The sequence below is a fragment of the Homo sapiens genome, chromosome 1, assembly GCF_000001405.40.
Source record: "Homo sapiens chromosome 1, GRCh38.p14 Primary Assembly".
Classification (NCBI taxonomy): Eukaryota; Metazoa; Chordata; class Mammalia; order Primates; family Hominidae; genus Homo; species Homo sapiens.
The window spans coordinates 30,042,649-30,061,148 of record NC_000001.11 but is presented as its reverse complement, the minus strand read 5'-3'; the positions used below and the strand labels follow the sequence as shown (position 1 = coordinate 30,061,148).

At 49.0% G+C, this 18,500-nt stretch overlaps 1 annotated feature.

Annotated features, from left to right (window-relative positions):
- Positions 17,373-17,667: a silencer, noted in NCBI's record as "tiled region #9119; HepG2 Repressive non-DNase unmatched - State 24:Quies, and K562 Repressive non-DNase unmatched - State 23:Low". NCBI's record gives its function as "represses a minimal TATA promoter and a strong SV40 promoter by Sharpr-MPRA in HepG2 and K562 cells {active_cell/tissue: HepG2 | K562}" and the evidence as "EXISTENCE:reporter gene assay evidence [ECO:0000049][PMID:27701403]".

Genomic DNA, 18,500 nt, shown 5'->3' with positions numbered 1-18,500 from the left:
GAGCAAAACTCCATCTCAAAAAAAAAAAAAAAAAAAAAAAAAAACAGTAAAGAAAAGAAAAGATAGGAGCCCTAGTCCTGGAGGCACAAACCAGAGGAGGTGGTGCTGCAGAGCTCAAGACTGCGTGTCCTGCTGATGTAATCCATCACTAGGCCCACTGCTGCCAGAGCCACCCACACCCTGGGTAGCTGCAGCTGGCCACTGCAGCTATTGCCAGAGTCACCAAAGGGCCGTTGAGCTGGTAGCTACCTGGTGCAGCCAGAACCTCTTTCAGAAGCAGCTTCTCCCCAGCTCCCATCTTTTCGTCTTCACTAGCACTTTCCATTGTCGGTGCTAACTGGAAGCCAGCAGGCATGGGAGTCTAGGAGATGCAGCCAGCCAGGATCCAGCATCACACAATAGTGTTAATGGCACAGAGAGCAAACGGCCAGTGGACAAATGACCTGCACAGTGCTTCAGCACTTGGACTTTTGTGCTAATCAAAGCAGTTTGAAACTCAGCTCTGTGACCTTGAGCATGGCATTTAATTTTTCAGAGCTTTCTTTTACCCAAGGCTAAGGGGGGATAATAACACCCACGGCACAGGGTCGTTGTGAGGATTAAATATGCATGTAAAAGTGTCCGTGCCAGGACCTGGACATGAGACGCCCTCCCTGTAGGGGTCCTGATGTTCCCTGGTTCAGCCTCATCCTTGACTTACTCTCTGACCTTGAACAAGTGTCTGAGTCTCTCTGGGCTCTGTTTTCTCATCTGTAAAATGAATGAGGTTGGAACAGAGGCTCCACAAGGTCCCTTTAGCCCTGTTGAGCTGTATGCTGTGAATCACTCCTTAAATGAAATGGACAGGTTGGGTCTGGCAGGAGGAATAGGAGGGTCTGATTGCTGAAAAGGAGCCCAGGGAGAAGGGAAGGCGTGCCGAGGTTGTGGCTGAGTCTGAGTGCTCTGAGCTGTGTGCTTCACTGGAGAACACGCTCACATGTCAAACAGATCACACTTCAGCCATCTTAATGTTCCTTGCACCTCCAGGTTGCCCCTGGCAGCACTGACATGGTCTCTGTTCCCTTTGATGCGCTCACTCCCAGGGTGGCTCAGTTGACAAGAAATTGCCAGGAGCATCATTTTCCTGCACTCTGTAATCCAGAAGGAAAGGGGCCTTAAATTACATCCATCATGAAGATTAGGTTTGTAAGCCAGGGGCCTGTGAAGGACTTGAATGTCTGAGCTTGGAGAATCTTCCTATTTGGGCTGGAATTATGCGTTGAAACCCGCTGGAACTCAGGAGGTGCTGAGATGCCTGCAGAGGCCGGTATTCCTGGAAGTACCGCCGTCCATGGGCTAAAACATGGGGCACTTTTGTCCAGCAGAGAAGGGTTCAAGGGTCTATTGTGCCACTTGCTAATTTATGTCCTTTTCTTAGCTTCTCTGAGACTCAGTTTCTTTATTTATAAAACGAAATCATAATATGTACTGCAATTTGCACTTGGGCTGTTTTGGTTTATCCGGCATCTCTTTCTCCCTCTGTTTTTGGCACCTATCACTCCTGTCACCCTTGCTTTGGGAAGGTAAGCTTCCTGCACCCCCCAGGCCCTGATATTCTGACCAAATTATCAGTCAGTGACTCTATCCCACCTCTCTTCTTAGAGAGAGGTATCGGCATAGACTAAACCAATCACAGCAATCCATTCCCCCAGGAAATAGTGGTTGGTCCAAGTAGAGCATGTGACCAAAATCAGCCTATTAGAATCCTTGACTGGGACCATGTATATGGCTATAACAACAAGCAATTCTCTCTTTCCTATGGAATCACTAGATGGGATGATCTAAGCTTGGAGCTGCTAATGGTTATGATTCCCCTTCCACTTTCCTTTTCCTGCCTCATGAATGAATCCCATGGCAAAGAGAAAGATGCTACTACACAGTCAGAAGCAAAATGTTGAGAAACATAAGGAGTATGAGCGATCCAGTGATGTCATTGGAGCCCCTGAGTCCAGCTGTGCCTGAGGCTATTCCCTGGTGACTCACCCAGCTCTACAAGCAACTAAATTTCCTCTTAGGTTAAAGCGGCTGGACTCTTTTGGTTGGAAGTCGAAGGCCCAGCTGATTTGGTAGCTCAGTAAATATTGCTTTTACTCCAGTGGTGGCCACTTCATGTCCGACCATGGCTCTTGTCACCCTAATCTCAGGTGTCCAGGGGAGCATCTGTCCCTCCCTCTTGGCTGAGAGCTCCTCAGGGGAGGTACAGGGTCTGACGTGCCCAGCATTTACTTCCATCTCAGTGCCTGGGGCATAGAAGGTGCCCAGGAAATGTCTGATGATTGAGGGAGGGAGGGAGGGAGGGAGTGATTGAGTGTTGACCCAGGTCTGCCCCCTTCCTGTCCTGGATCCTGCTCAGGCCCCTCCTCCATGACTTCTTAAACCACCCCTGTACCCATAGGCTGGTTGACTGAGTGCTTGCCATCCTCCTCTAATGTCCTCCAACATCATCCTCCAAGCTGGGAGCTCTTCATTTGTCCCATCACTCATAACACAACTGTGTTTGGACTGCGTGCTTTATTAAGCACCTAGAGGTGCTGTTCTAGGAACGAGGAGTACACATGTGATCAAGATAGACTCAATCCTGCCTTCATGGCATTTGCAATGTGGTTGAGGAGACCTATTAAGAACAAAGAAAGAGACAATGCTAGGTCCTGAGGAATGCTCTGCAAAACCTAATGCAGGGGAAGGGGAGGGAGGGTGGCACGTTGGGGAGGAGCTAAGGAGTGAAGGAGACTCCATCTCTATCATCGTCTCCCCCGACCATGACTACCTGCTCCTTGCATAAGCCTGCACCTGCAGACATGAAGTTGAATCCAGGAGGGAGCAAGAAAAAATACCCTGACCTTCTCTCCTCCTATGTTCTGGTCTCCTGGCAGCACCTCCCATTGGCTGAACCCAGCAGAAGCCAGCTGTCGCTAGAATCCCTGACATAGTGCATGCAGGGCAGCGTCGCTGGTGCAGAGCTGGACAGGAGGAGATGGAGAATGAATGAGGGTATGAAGAACAACCAGCCAGGGATGATTAGCAAAATATTCCCCCAAAAGCTTGTGGCATTGCTTCAGGGTGCTCATTACAGTCTGTTTCTTTATATTTTGGTATCAATGGAATGTTTCACAAACAGTGTGAATCATTTGTTTTATGAAGCTATTTTAAAAAAATAATCATGGCCTGGTGCTCAGAGACAGAAACAAGGTGACCTTGACATCATGACCCCACCTGGAAATTGGGTCTCAAAGCCACATTTGAGGCTTGGCAGGTGCAATCAAGCTGTGGTGAAAGAGCAGAATCCAGGAGCCCAGACACCCGGGTTCAGGTTCTGCTTCAGCTCCTCACCTGCAAGGTGACCTTGAGAATGTCCCTTCTCTCCCAGCCTCAGTTTCCCCAGCATGCACTAGTGATCCCTAATGGGCTTCCCAGCTCTGATGGGCCAAGAGCCCTCTGAAAAGTGAGAAGTCACTAATACTGTCAGAAGCCCGGTGTTTACTGATTATGGAAGACAGATGACTCTGAACCTACTTATACAGAGGAAGAAATTCGAATAAATGGCTCCTGGAAAGCACCCCAGGAGCATTTCCAAGATGATTCAAATGCAATGATGAGCACTTTTATTAACGTCTGCTGGGACATGAGGGAAAATCAAGGGCAGGTGCCGCCACAGCAGTCTGTGGGGGGAAGGAAGGAACCCCGGAGCGGCAGCAAAGAGCCTGGCAGTGGGGGAGGTGGGAGAGACCCGGCCGGCAGCTGGGTTGTGATCCCAGCTGTGGCCTTACTTCAGGACATGACCTTTGGTAAGCCCCTTTGCCTCTCAGGGCCTCAGTCTCCCCAGCTGTAAAATGAAGGAGTTGAACAGATCATTGCTGTGGCCCCATCCAGCCCTGTGCCCACATGGACCAAGAGATCTGGCAGGAGGCAAAATGCTGGGGAACAGAAGTTTCCAGGCCTTTAGCCAGGGGGAAGCTCCCCATTAGGTTATGAGCGCAGGCCCCACAGGCTGAGCTGAAGGCCAGGCCCACTCCCAACTCGCTCCATAACTTTGGGCAGGCTCCTTTCCTTCCTTGTGTCTAGGTTTCCTTCCCTGGAAAAGGAGATCGTCATGGTGATTAAAATTTAGATCTCGTTGTTTTTCTATTTGTCCTAGCTGTTATTTGTATACCTTTCTCCCTTTTCCTGCCTTCTTTTGGATTGAATATTACTTATGATTCCATATTGTCTTCTGTGTTGGCTTGTTAACTATAACTCTATGTTTTGCATTTTAGTATTGGCTTGAGGGTTTATAGTGGACATCGTTAGCACAGTCTGCCCGAGATGTTACACTATTTCTCACAGACTTTAAGAACCTTATAGCAGTGGACTTCCACTTCTCCCCTCCCACCTTCCTACTATTGTTGTATGTTTTACTTCTACATGATTTGTAAATATTACACTACATCATTAATTTTGTTCAACAGGTCAATATTCTCATGTGTGTGCATGTGTATGAATAAATAACTTGTTCCTCTGTATAGCTGAGCAGTATTCTCTTACATGGATATATCACCATTTGCATTCACCTTTTGAAAGACATCTTGGTAGTTTCCAGTTTGTGGAAATTATGCATATAGCTGCTATAAATATTCATGTACATATTATTGTGTGAACAGAAGTATTCAATTTACTTAGGTAAATATCTATAAGGAGGATTTCTGGATTACATGGGAAATGTATGTTTAATTTTATAAGCAACTTGAAGACCCTCTTTTGTATATAGCCTTTACAGGATTTCAAATTTATGTATATGCTATGATAACTTTCAAAAGAGTCAATTTTACTAAAATTCAAGACAGAATGCAAGAATACCAAGATATACTTCAATTGAATTTGATTTGGGATTTCAGGATATCTCCATGAAACAAATGTTGTCTAGTAAAATATTCAAATGGATATATTTTGATATATAAATACATCTTTTTATAAATGAATGAATGAATGACAGTGGGAATGGAATGGACGTGGGAATGGAATTGAAGGGATGGATGTGAGTAAGGGCTGAAATGGAAGCCTAAGGCTGATGTATTAGCTGAAGTAAGGAGTATAGTGATCGAAGTAGAGGGGAGACTCTCACATGCACCACCTGTGTAGTTACCTGACAGTGCTCTTGATTTCTTCATGTGGATTCACGTCACTGTTTAGGGTCACTTTATTTCAGTTTAAAGGAATCCCTTTTTACAGTAGATCTGCTGGGAATAGTGTCTCTCGATTCTTGTTTATCTGGGAATGTCTTAGGTTCCTCTTCATTTTTGAAGGTTAGTTTTCCTGGACATAGAATTCTTGATTAACCTTCCTTTTCTTCTGTTCTTTGTATATGTCATCCCACGTCTTCTGGCATCCATAGTTTTTTATGAGAAGTTAGCTACTGATCTTATTGAGGATACCTGTGGCATGATGAATCATTTTTCTCTTGTTTTGAAGTTTCTCTCTTTGTCTTTCAACAGTTTGACTATGCTGTGTCTGTGTGTGCAGCTCTTTGAGTTTATCCTACTTTGAATTTGTTGGGCTTTATTGGATGTGTAGGTTAATATTTTAAAATCAGATTTGAGAAGTTTTGGCCATTATTTATATAGATATAGATATAAGAGAATACAGCTCAGCTATATAGAGGAACAAGTTATTTACTCACATACATGCACACACACAAGAATACTGACCTGTTGAACAAAATTAATGATGTAGTGTAATATTTACAAATCATGTAGAAGTAAAACATACAACAATAGTACAAAGGTGGGAGAGGAGAGGTGGAAGTCCACTTATCTTTCTTTTCTCTTTCTGAGATTCTCGTGATGCATATGTTGATATACCTGATGGTGTCCCATGGATCTCTGATTCTGCTAATTTTTCTTCATTCTTTTACTTTTCTATTTCTCAGACTGCAAAATCTCCATTGACCTCTTTCCAAGTTTACTGATCCTTTCTTCTGCCGACTTAAAACTGCTGTTGAGCCCTTTTAGTAATTTTTTTTATTTCAGTTTTTGTATTTTTCAATTTCAGGATTTATATTGATCCTTTTTTAAAAATATAATTTCTATACCTTTGTTGCTTTTCTTTATTTGGTGAAGCACTGTTCTTACATTTTCCTTGAATTATTCGAACGTATTTTAAATACCTGGGTTAGTCTGTTGCTTACCGCGTTTACCACTGTCTCAGCCTAGAACAAATAAGTCTCCAAGTCTCTAGCAGGAGCTCTGTGTGAGAGTTGGGTCTTGCCTTCAGCCCGTAACCAGGCAGTTTATTTATTTGCCTTAGCCTTCACAAAGCCTCAAAGACTCAAAGTCAGCCAGAGGTGAGAGCTTAGCATCTTCTTGGGTCTCTCCTGAGCATGTGCATAACCCTACATATGCTCATGGCATTCTAGATTCCCAGGAATACCTTGGAGCTTTTCAGAGCCCCTATGAACAACTCATTCCCCAGTCTTGCCTTTTAAGCTTTTGGGTTAGTATGTTACTTACCCCAACTGTTTTCCACTGTCACTGTCTCAGGCAGTCCAAGCCAAATGATTGGCTGCAATTGTTTTTGACAATTGCTTCCCTAAAAAGGTTTTTGTTTGTTTGTTTGTTTGTTTGTTTGCTTGTTTTATACTGGGTGAGCTCTGATTCAGGTAAAATAAAGACAGCCTTACAAGTGGGATCTTCCAGGGAACCACCAGACAGGTGAAATAACCAGTTATCTGAGAATGTGGCTTTGAAGAAACTCCAACCCCATTCTGCTCTCTCCTGGCTGCCAGACTGCTGGCTTCCCTGTGACTCTGGACTATTGATATTCAAGGCTACCATGAAACTGGAGAGCAGGGGATGGGACTACAGCCAGATAACATGCCTCAAAGCCCACTGTCTTACGAAGATCACTTTTTTTTCCTGAACAAATGTGCCCTGGATTGCAGCAAGCCTTTGGTTAATTTTCCAAGTTCTGAAAAATTTATTCTGAAAATTTTTGCCAGTATTCTTACTTTTTTTAATGAGACTTTCCAGAGGCTCTTGCTTTATCCTGTCCCCTAATGTCACTTATTTACAGTGTTCTGATTAGAAATCTATTGTCACCCTTTTCTTTGTTTTTACATCCTTATCTTTGCTTCTTTATGCCTAATTTGTAATTTTCGCCTCTCTGGCAACTTTTATAGGTTTTGAATAATTTGATTGTGATGTGCCTTGCTATCATTTTTTTCATGTTTCAAATGCTTGTAATGTATTGAACTTCTTGGATCTCCGAATTAATAATTTTTGTCAAATTTGGAAATTTCTCAGCCACATTTGTTTTCATAATTTTGTTATATCCTCTTGCTGTTCCTCTCCTTCATTGCATGCTGGATATTTTTGTTTTTTCTGTAAATATTTATAGTATGTGTTCTAAGATGTAAATTATTTTTCAAAAATAGCTTGATCCTTTTGGCTGTCATTTTTAAGACTTGTTAGGCAGGCCAGAGCAGTGTTCAGTCTAGGACTAATTTTTCCCCATTATTAAGGCAAGATCCTTCCGAGTACCCCATGAGTTATGACGTTTTCCAGTCTGGCTGGTTGGAAACTGTATTATTCCCAGCACTGCGTAAGCGTCACAGATGACTTCCCCTTCTAACCCTTCAGAATGATTCTTTCTCCATCCTCAGGCGGTCTCCCCACATGCTTGTACTGATTGCTACTCAGCTGAAGACTTCAGGAGGATCCTGCACAGATCTCTGGAGTTCTTTCTGTGCAATGCCCCTCCTTTTGTTCCTCTGTCCTGTGAACTCTCCTTAGACTCTCAGCTCCATCTCCTCATCTCAGAGAGTCCTCCAGACTCCATCTGGACTCTGAGTCCCTACACCATGTCTAGGAAACTCACTCCAGGCAGTAAGCTGAGGAATCGTGAGGCTCACTTTATTTGTTTCCCATCTCTCAGGGATCACTGTGTTTTGTTGCCTGATGTCAAATGTTTTGCAAAGCATTTTCAAATATATTTTGTCTGTTTTTTCTGTTGCTTCAGGTGGGAGAATAATCCAGCTCCTGTTACTCTGTTGTAGAAGCAGAAATCTAAAGAAATCCCTATTTCCTCCATGTACTTGAGCTCTTGATCTTCCAGGCAAGGTAGGCACTACTATTGCGGCCAGTATTTGGTAAGTCTGAGGCACAAACCCAAGTCTATCTAACTCCTGAACATTCCCTATCTGTAAATGTTCCCTCCCACCCCATCCATGGCTTTCCTCAAAAACAACATGACCTGGCCGGGTGTGGTGACTTGCCTGTAATCCCAGCCCTTTGGGAGGCTGAGGCGGGTGGATCACCTGAGGTCAGGAGTTTGAGACCAGCCTGGACAACATGGTAAAACCCCGTCTCTATTAAAATACAAAAATTAGCCAGGTTTAGTGGCATGTGCCTGTAATCCCAGCTATTCGGGAGGCTGAGGCAGGAGAACTGCTTGAGCCCAGGAGGCGGAGGTTGCAGTGAGCCGAGATCATGCCACTGCCACTGCACTCCAGCCTGGGCGACAGAGCAAAACTCCATCTCAAACAAACAAACAAACAAACAAACAAACAAAAAAAAAAAACCCAACATGACCCATCATGTAAGGGGCTTTGTTTTTTTGTTTTTGGTGGTGCGTTGTGCAGAGATTTGAGATGAAGGTTGAACCAGCAAAAGTTTTTATGACCGCCTTGTCCCAGCATGAAGACCAGAGGGCCAGAGCCACCTGCTGACATCTGCTGAGTATTGCTTGAAGTGCCTCTGCGAGGGGGCAGATTGTGCTGAGACATTGTGGTGAGAGTGGGTGAGGAGTGGGTTAGCCTATGCTCACACTTGTGAGCAGGACAGATATCAAGAGGAGCGTTTTGTGAAATGGAATGTGTACTAACTGTATTCTTCAAAAGTGATCAGAGACAGGAGGGCACTTCCAGGTGTGGGGCCTGCAGAACACAGGGGCTCCTGCAGAGTGTGTGGGCAGGGAGACGCCGTGGGGGGCAGCAGGAATAACTGAGTCCAGACACAGTGGTGAGCAGAGAAGAAACCCCTGCTCCTAGGAACCTGCTGCCCTCACCTCAATGTGGTCCCGCAGCCCCTGAGGCCAGGTCTGCACTGACAAATGACCTATGTGAATCAGCCCAGCTTCTGTCGAAGGCTGGCCTTGGATGGAAACCAAGAGGGCGACCTCACCCTCCTCTTCCACAAAAGGGGTACAGTACCCACTTTCCACAGGTGTGGGGATGCATTCCATTAGCCAGCCGCAGAGTGAGGACTTCTGGCTTTTTAGGTGTAAGGAATGGGGTGGGGGAATCTGGGACAACCCCTCTGTCTACCCTAACACACTGCCACCCCAACTCCTCTTTCATTCATCTTTTCATTAAATTTTGCTAATCTGGACTCTTCACAGAGACTGTTCTAGGCTCCCAGGAAAAGGAGGCGAATCAGTCGGGTCCTTGCCCTTTAGGTCCTCTGAGATCAATGCAGGAGCCTTCTCAGAAACAGACAGGCATCCACAGTGTGCTAAGAGCAGCCCAGCACCAGGCAACGCTCTGCAGCACTCGTTAAGTACCAGGCATTGTTCACTGTATGTGCAACATTTCACGGAACCCTCTCCACAACTTAGGTGCATCACATGGCTTCCTGGGCCCATTCTCATTTGTAAATCAAGGCTATTTTCTTTCTCCACATGGCCAGACTTTTTACCCTATACCTGCATAAGAATGCAATACATTCACGAGAATGTACTCATACACATTAATTAGCCATACAAAAGGAAAGAAAAAAATGAGTGGTATTAATGGTCCCTTCCAGTCCTGATTGGCCAAAGACCTCTGATTCTGGACTTCTCAGGAGTGGACAAAGTTGGGTCTGGGTCTGGGGCGAAGTGAGGCTCCTGGGGATGGCCCTGGAGGACATCTATCCTAGGAAACTGGAAGTTGTCTCACTGAGTACATTGAGTCATTTAGCCTCCACTTTGGTCTTCACCTCTTACCCAGCTGACAACAAGGCTTCTTGGTCCCTCTGAGTCTGATACACAGAGGCTCATCTTGCCTTGTCCACTGTGCTGCAGGCTCACTGGCATTATTTGGGGCTTCTGTCAATCTTTATTCCAAGTCTTCTCCTTTGGCCAAAAATGTGCTTTCCTTATTAGTACACTTGCAGTTCCAGGGATGAAAATCTAACCCCTACAGGTTTAAATAAAACAGAGAAGAAATGAGGTGTCTTATTGGCCCATTCAACTAAGACATCCAAGAGTTGATGGCTTTGAGCACAGCTGAATGCAGTGGCTTAAGGGCTATCATCTTATAATCTTGCCTTTCCATCTCTTGACCAGTGCTTCTACATTGAGTTAATCCTCAGCCATGCTCTCCCTTCTGGGTGGCAAATGCTATCCTATGGAAATCCCCACAGTTATGCCACACTGGCTTCACCTCTCTCTTTCCTGATAATTTTAGCAAAAGTTCTTGGTATGTGATATGGTTTGAATGTGTTTTCCTTCCAAATCTCATGTTGAAATGTGAACCCCAGTATTGGAGGTGGGGCTTGGTGGGAAGTGTTGGACCATGGAGGTGGATCTTCATGAATCAGTTAGCTCCATCCCCATTGTAATGAGTTACTGTGAGATCTGATTGTTAAAAAGTCTGGGACCTCCCCCTCTTTCTCTTGCTTCCTCTCTCCATGTGACATACCTGCTCCCTCTTCACCTTTTGTCATAAGTAAAAACTGCCTGAGGCCTCACCAGAAGCTGAGTAGATCCTGGGGCCATGCTTATACAGCCTGCAGAACTGCCCTTCCTCATCCTCTCTGCCCCTCTCCTGACTGCCTCTTTCCTTCCTCCTACCCCTCTTTCTCTGCTTCTGTCCCATACTCTCTCCTCCCTCTCCCCATGTCCTGGCCCTCCCCAGCTAATTAAATGACACTGTGGAAACTGTTTTATTTGCATATGGCTCAGGGGCCATGGAGGGCCAGCAGTTGTGTGTTCATTAAATGGCTCCATGTACAGGGATGTAATGAGCCAGTTTTATTACATCACCGTGGTTCATCTGTGAGATGATATTGTATTCATTGGGAAGAAAGAGAACCACTCAAGCCTGAGTGTCTGGGGTTGGAGGGGTGAGCAGGGGAGGACTTATCCTCTCTGACTCAGGAAATGGCCTGGAGGTAGGAAGGGAGGCCAGGCTGGGCCGGTGGCCCCTGTTACTGCCACCCTAACTGTGACGGTCAGAACTCTCCTCTGGTTTTGACTATAGCAATGGCTGATGGTCCCAACCCAGGGGTCCAGAACTTCTGGGTGCTGACTGCAAGGGGCCCTGACTTCACCTGGGTACCAGATGCTATTTGTAGACAGAATAATTGGCCTGCCACATAACAGAGCACCATTTTACTATCCGCATGTGCTCCTGAGAAGCATTTCTGCATTTCTAGCAGCCTTCGTCCATTGCGTATTTCCTCCGTCATTAGGATCTAATGGTAGCTGCTGGCTAGTGATAAAATAATAGCAGCCACCATTCCTCAAGTACCTACTGTGTGCTGGGGCGCTGGGCTTAGTGATTTACTTGGGATATCTCATTTAATCCCTACAACATCCACTGAGGGGAGGGGCTGTTATCGTCGTTTTTATGGATGAGGAAATTGAGGCTCAGAGAATTAAAGTGCCATGTCCAAAGACACACAGGCAGATTGTGGTGAACAGAGAATTTGATCTCCGGCCTGCCCAACACCACGGTCCTCACCACTGCTCTCTGCTACCTCCAATTTACAATGACAGCTCATAGCAAGTGGGAGTCCCACACTTTTATTAAATGTTAAAAACATTCCTCATGGTCAAATAGATTATGACAAATGATGGTTCCTGCAGGAGGCTCGCCATCTTCTCTGGGGTTAACTCGGAATGGGCTGTAAGGCATCTGAGCTGATTGAGATCAGGGTGCACCTGTCCATATGTATGAGGAAGAAGGTAGTGTCTTGGGGTCTGGCAGTAAAAGGAGAAACAGCTGGGGCTGGGGAGATTCTGGCCTGGGGATTGGGGAGGTGGGTCTGAGCTGTGGCTGTGTCTCCAACTCACTGAGTGACAGTCAACAAATTCAACACTCCACAAATGCCTATTGCGCACCTAAGTGCCAGGCTGGTTCTGGGCGCTGGCGATACAATGGTGGATGAAGCCATTCCTGCCCTCAAGCCTGTGGCATTCCAGGGCAGGGTGGACAAAGTCCCTGCCCCTCTGTGGGCTCAGTTTACTCATCTCTGTACAGAGCAGACTGGGACATAAGCTCAAGTGTCTTCATGAGTCAAGTAGGTAACTCAAGGGACCCATATAAGTTGGGATGAGGGAGACCAGGCTTCCAACCACAGAGATGGCTGCGGCTCAGCTCCTGCCACCATTGCTATAAGCATGCCTGACAGTGTGTCTGTGTGGTGACAGCCTCCATATATCAAAGACTTCCTGCAACCACGGTCAAGGAGGGTCTCTCAGGACAACCATTGCATGGTGGGGGATGACAATAACAAGCCCCCCTCAATCCAGGGGTACACTGGGCTGTCAGAGTCCAAGCCCCATGAACAGATGGGGCAGCTCAGGGAGAGGTGGACAGGCAGAACCGGCCCTGCCAAGCCTCTGCCCGATGCCCACACTGCTGTGCAGATGGGCAGCCCTGGGCAGGGAGAGGTACTGTCAACAGGAAGGATCCAAAGATGGCCCTGGGCCCTCCTGAATCACGGGGTTCAGGGCACATGTGTGTGTGTTCATGTGTGCTTGTGTGTGTGTGTGTGTGTGTGTGTGTGTGTGTGTGTGTATGTGAAGGTGAGATACGGGTCAGAGCAGGAGGAGATCAGGGCAGACCCCGGAGGAAACCACAAGGTCCTTCACTGGCCACAGTGATGCAGAGATGGCCTGCAGAGGTCTGGAGGGGCCATTAAGAGAAAAGGCTGGACAATGACCTTGAAACCACACCAGCACACAACCATAAAACAACTAGTTCTATTAAGTATTTCTGTGAGCCTGGCTCTATTCTAGAACTTTATAAGTATCTTACTGAGTCCTTACAACAATCTCAGAGGGGAATTACTATAATTAATTCATTCTGCAGGAAGGGAATCCAAACACGTTAGGCTAAGTTCTCTGCTGAAGGTCACCGGGCTGGTGTGAGGCCGAGGAGGCTTTGAGTCCTGGCTGTATGGCTTCCAAATGCACACTTTCCTAAAACTGGGCTCATGGCACCACCTTCCTACAGTACCATATATTTGTTGAAGCCCTGTGTGTCAGGCACTGTGAAGGGGTTTTACTCACGTCATGTAACCCCAGCAACAACTGAGGAAGGGAGTGCTCACCGCTCCCACTTTACAGATAAGAAGACTGAGACTCAGGAGACAAAGGGGCTGTCAGAGACTTGCCCAGGGCCAGCTCAGCTCTCTGTGGCCCCATTGGGTTCTTGGGGGTCTGGCTCCAGAGCCTCCTCCTCCGGACACTGTGCCCTGCTGGGTGGGGTAGGGAAGAAGCTTGTTTCCTAGTTTCTGATAGTCTGAACTTCACTATGACAGTTCCTAGGGGCCTGGAGACACCTTCAGGAGGCCACAAATCGGGGCTGGGGCCTCTGGGTTAAGCCTGGAAGAATCCCATTTCCTTTCCCCAGGGGTCTCCCCAGTCTCAATAGACTCTGGGTCACCTGAGCTAATAAGGCCAGTCCCCTCCCCTGTTCCACCTCGCTTTGTTAGAAATTAGACATATTGCCTGGGTGCAGTGGCTCATGCCTGTAATCCCAGCACTTTGGGAGGCCAAGGCGGGTGAATCACTTGAGGTCAGGAGTTCCATAACAGGCTGGCCAACATGGTGAAACCCCTTCTAACCAAAAATGTGAAAAATTAGCTAGATGTGGTGGTGCACGCCTGTACTCCCAGCTACTTGGGAGGCTGCAGCAGGAGAATCACTTGAACCTGGGAAGGGGAGGTTGCAGTGAGCCAAGACCGTGCCACTGCACCCCCCCACCAAAAAAAAGAAAGAAATTAGACACATGAAAGACTTCTGCTGACCCTTTAGATCACAGCAGAACTTTAGGCCCCAGAGCCCCCTCACTCTGCCAAGGCCCTTTCCAACTTCAAGATTTATTAACTCATCCACAGGGAAGCGGCTGTATTTCCAACAGTCCCTGGACACATGCTGCACCTGTGCCTGATGTCCCGGCATACAGCGGCAGCGGCCAGGCCAGTCCTGCCCGTGGGGCTCCGTGTTCTCTCCTGAACTGCAGTGGAGGCAGAACCCGTGACTGGCAGGCTCTGCTCTCCCCGAGGGCAGAGAGGCATGTGCAAGGAGGGGACTTGGAGGAAAGCCACGGGGCAGGCATAGAGGAGGCAGTCGGGGCAGGAAAAGGGAGACCTCCAATGGGCTAGAGGGGAGAACTCACCTCTCCTGAGCCCCTGCTATGTGTCTAGCATCTACGTGCACCCCTCATCCAAGCCTCACCACCTCAGTAGGCAGATGTCACTCTTGCCATTGTGAGATTATGCCCAATGTGCAGATGAGGATATCAAGGCTCAGAGAGGTTAAGTGACCTGCCTAAGGTCACACTCCTTGGCTGTAATAGGGACAGGGATTCAAACCCAGCTGGTGAGCCTGAAGTCCATCCTCTTCCTCCCAGTCACATTGTTTAGATTCACTCTTCACTTCATAGGGGTGCCTGTGGCTCCCTCCACCTCTGTTCCCCCCACCGCCCACCTCTCATCTACCTCCCTATCCCTGCAAAGCTGCCCTGCAGCTCCCTAGGGAAAAGAAGCCTCAGTAAATCCCAGCCTTCAATAAGGAGGATCTGAGATGATCCCTCAGGAGAAGCAAACATTTCCCGGCAGAGTAAATCACTGAGGCACCTTAGTACTTGCAGGTGCAGCCAGCTGCCCTCCCTCCCCTGGAAGTTTGTAAATCAAACCTTAGACCTAGATACAAATAATCTGCCGGGAAATAAATAAGGCAGGAAGCAAGGCGGACATGCAGGGAGAAGAGCAGCTCCCCAAGCCAGGCCCTGGAGGGCTTCTGAGACGAAGGTGAGGGGCACAGTGTGGCTGTTGAGGGACCACTGCTCCCACCTGCCACCCCAGGGGATTGGGCCAGAGGCTTCCTGGGGTCCCTGCCAGCCCCGGAATTCTGTGTCTCCCTGACCCAGTGTCTGGGAACAGCTGGGGAAAAGGGTCTGGGCTCAGGGATGGAGGCTGGAGAGTGGGCTTGAAGTCCCCAGCAGCTCTGAGCTAAACCCTGGCTGGGGCATTTGGTGGGGCAGGAGGCTCTGGTGGTAGCAGAGGACAGGATGGGGTAGGTGTGCCTGCCTGTGGCCCTGGGCAGCAGCCAGGAAGAAGCCAGAGGAGCAGAACTCAGCATCCTGGGCTGGGAGTTCAGACCTGGTCAGTTCTGGGTCTGCTGCGAATTTCCTGTGTGACCTTGAGCAAGTCATGTGACCTCTCTGAGCCTCAGTTGCCTCATCTGCAAAGTGGAGATGATTATTCCTGCCCTTGATGCAGGTGTGTTGGGAGGACCCACTGAGGTCAGGGAGGGAAGAGCCAATTGGGAAGAGCAGCCAGGAGCACAGGGGCGGGGCCTGGCTGCCTACCTGGTCAGGGCCTGGCCCTGCTCCACCCTCCTCTGCCCCCAGTCTTCTGGTGACTGGCCAGGCCCTGGCATCCCCACCCCTGAAAGCCCAGTTGATTGGCAGAGGTGAGGCCTTTATGCAAATGAGGCTGCCTCCCCTCTCTGCTCCTCCTTTTCCCCAAGGCCACCATCACTGGGGCCTCCCACTTAGCTTGAGTTTCCCAGGTAGGGGCAGATCCTTGTAAAACATTTGATTTCTCATCTAGGTGCACGGCAGCTCAGCTGTCTCTCCCAGGATCCATGCTGCTCCTAGCCCCGTTCTGGTCCTGTGTGCCCCCTGGAAGAGCAGCCCTCAGCTTCCCCTTTCTGATGAGCTGTGTGAATCTGGGTGGGTCACTTCACCTCTGAGCCTCAGTCTCCTCCTCTGTTAGATGGGGATAACAGCACCTACCTGTCATCCTTGTTCTCTTCATGAACAGGCTCTTTTGGTTCTTCCTCAAGTGTTTCTGTGGAGCCTTCTGTGTGCCAGGCCCTGGTCTGGGCACTGAGGACTGGTGTGGAGGTGGGCAGCAGAGACAGGGCCCTGCTCTTGTGGGTCTTTCTTGGGGTGGATGCAGTATGGAGCTGGCTGGGAAGGTGTCCATTAGCTGCCAGGAGCTGAGGCACTGCAGTGTAGGCGGGTGACCCATCCAAGGCCACACACCATCATTGGAGCCCTGGACAGGCTAGGGGAGGGGAGACATGTGACACCACCCAGGCAGGAGACTCACTGCACCACCCTACTGATTTTCAGTTCCCTCATTCCAGTGAAGTCACCCTTTCTCTGAGAACATGGTGGAGGCCAAGCCCCGGTTGGCTCCTTTTGCTACCTCAGGCCTAGCCAAAGCCCTTGGGCTGGGCAGATGAAGGTCACCTGGTCAAGCGGGTCCCCAGAAGAGCAGCTCTTCATCTCCCGTATCTAAGCTTCCCGTCTCCCTGCCCCACTCCCAGCCCCAGAACTTCCCACAGAATTACCTAGGAATGGCGGGAGGGGAGCTGGATCTTGTTATCAGAGCATTCATAGCTTCCCCTGACACCGCTTCCAGGCCCTCCTTACAGAGCCCCGCTCCCCACCACTGATAAGAGAATTGTTAATGATTATAATCATCATCTGAAAAGCTGGGTTCCTGCCACAGATAATTACAATAACATTCTGCTCCACTTTGTCTTCTCCCTTTATATGTGATGAGGAACTTCATGGCACACCTGGAGACAAGAGTTGAGGGGAGGCCCCCAAGGGGTGGTCTGTGCAGGAAGGTGGCAGGTGTGAATGTGAACATGGGAACCCCTCTGGGGGAAGGGCCCCTCAGTCATGTACCCGTATGCACTGTGTGCCTGAAAGCCTGTGCCTGTGGGGCATGTGCTTGTGTGTGCAGTGACTGGGCTGGTGGGGGCCAGGCAGGACCCTGGCAGGGGAAGAGCATGGAAGGTGGGGTCAGTGATAGGTGATGGTGTGAGGGTACCTGGGGTGTGTGTGATGGGTGTAGGGTGCAGATGCAGGTCTGTCCCTGGGGTAACAGCCAGGGCCTGGAGGTTGCAGATGCCCCACTTCCTGATTGTTTATTTCACCTCTAAACCCTTTTTTCTCACCTGCAAACCTCCTGCCCCAGGCTGACTGTGAGTTGTGGGAATTGTGGTTGGCTGTTCACACAGGCAAGTGCTCAGAGAGGGTGAGTTATTAGTATTTGTCCACCTCAAGGTGGCAGGGAAGGGGGTAAGGTGACCAGCCATCCCAGTTAGACCATATCTGAGGGGTTGTCTGGGATATGGAACTTTCAGTGTTAAAACCTGGACAGTTGGCCATCCTACTTGGGTGGGGGTCAGTGTGGTGACCTCTCTGGTGACAGGGCATGACCTGCGGGTGATGATGTTGCAGGATCCTTGGGGTGTTGCTTTTTTGGCTGGAAACCTCTGTGGCTGGTGGCACCTTTGCCCAAGTTTTGCTCAGGCCTGCTGGGCTCATTCTGTCCACTTGGCCTGTCAGGCTGCACTTGGCTCATGCTACCAACCTGGATCCCATGCCTGCCAAGGGCAAGCCAGACGTGGAGCAGCAAGGGGTGTGTGAGCAAGTGAGCATGGGGTCCAGCCACTGTGCAATTAGGCATGCCAGCTGCTGCAGCGAGGTGGGCAGCTCCAGGTGCAGGCACAGGTGCCAGCTCTCTGTGAGGCTACAGCTGGACCAGGTGCACCACATGCAGCTTCTACAGTTGCCACTGGGGAACATGGTGGTTTCTGGAAGCATGGAGACTCCAGGAACCACAGGGCTCCAAAGAGGGAGTCACAGCCCTTGCTTGGGGAGCTCCCAGATCTGGGCTCCCCAAATGGCCATAGCTCTTCCCTCTTTCTCTTCACCTGCAATGTGGCAAGCAAGGGGTGTTTCAGCCTTGTTTCTGTTACAGCTCTTTCAGCCCCACCATTTGGTAGGTCCTGAGTTCTTGTCCTGTGTCTAGGAAGAATGAGGTATGCAGACAAGTGGAGCAAGATGAAGAGGAGTTTTATTGAGTGATAGAATAGCTCAGAGGAAGCCCTGGAGTGGGTAGTCCCTCTCTGCAGGCAGGGTGTCCTGATGAGTGTTCAGCTCTCAGCAGAGGGGAGGCCCTGGAGTGGGTAGCTCCTGTCTGCAGCTGGTCATCCCAACATCTGCTCAGCTCTGGCTGAGCCTGGGGCTTTTATGGGCCTCAGAGGGGAGAAAGTGCATGCTGATTGGTCCATGGGTGGCCATGGGCAGGCCTGGAAAGGGCACTACAAGTTCTCACTCTGATCCATGTGACTGGCAGCCTGGCCCCCAGCCTTCATGCCCTCACTAGCCTGAAGGTAGGGCCTCACCAGGGACCTGCCCCCTTCCACCCAGGAAGCTGTCTGCTTTCTGCTGCCTTTCATGGACCCCAGGC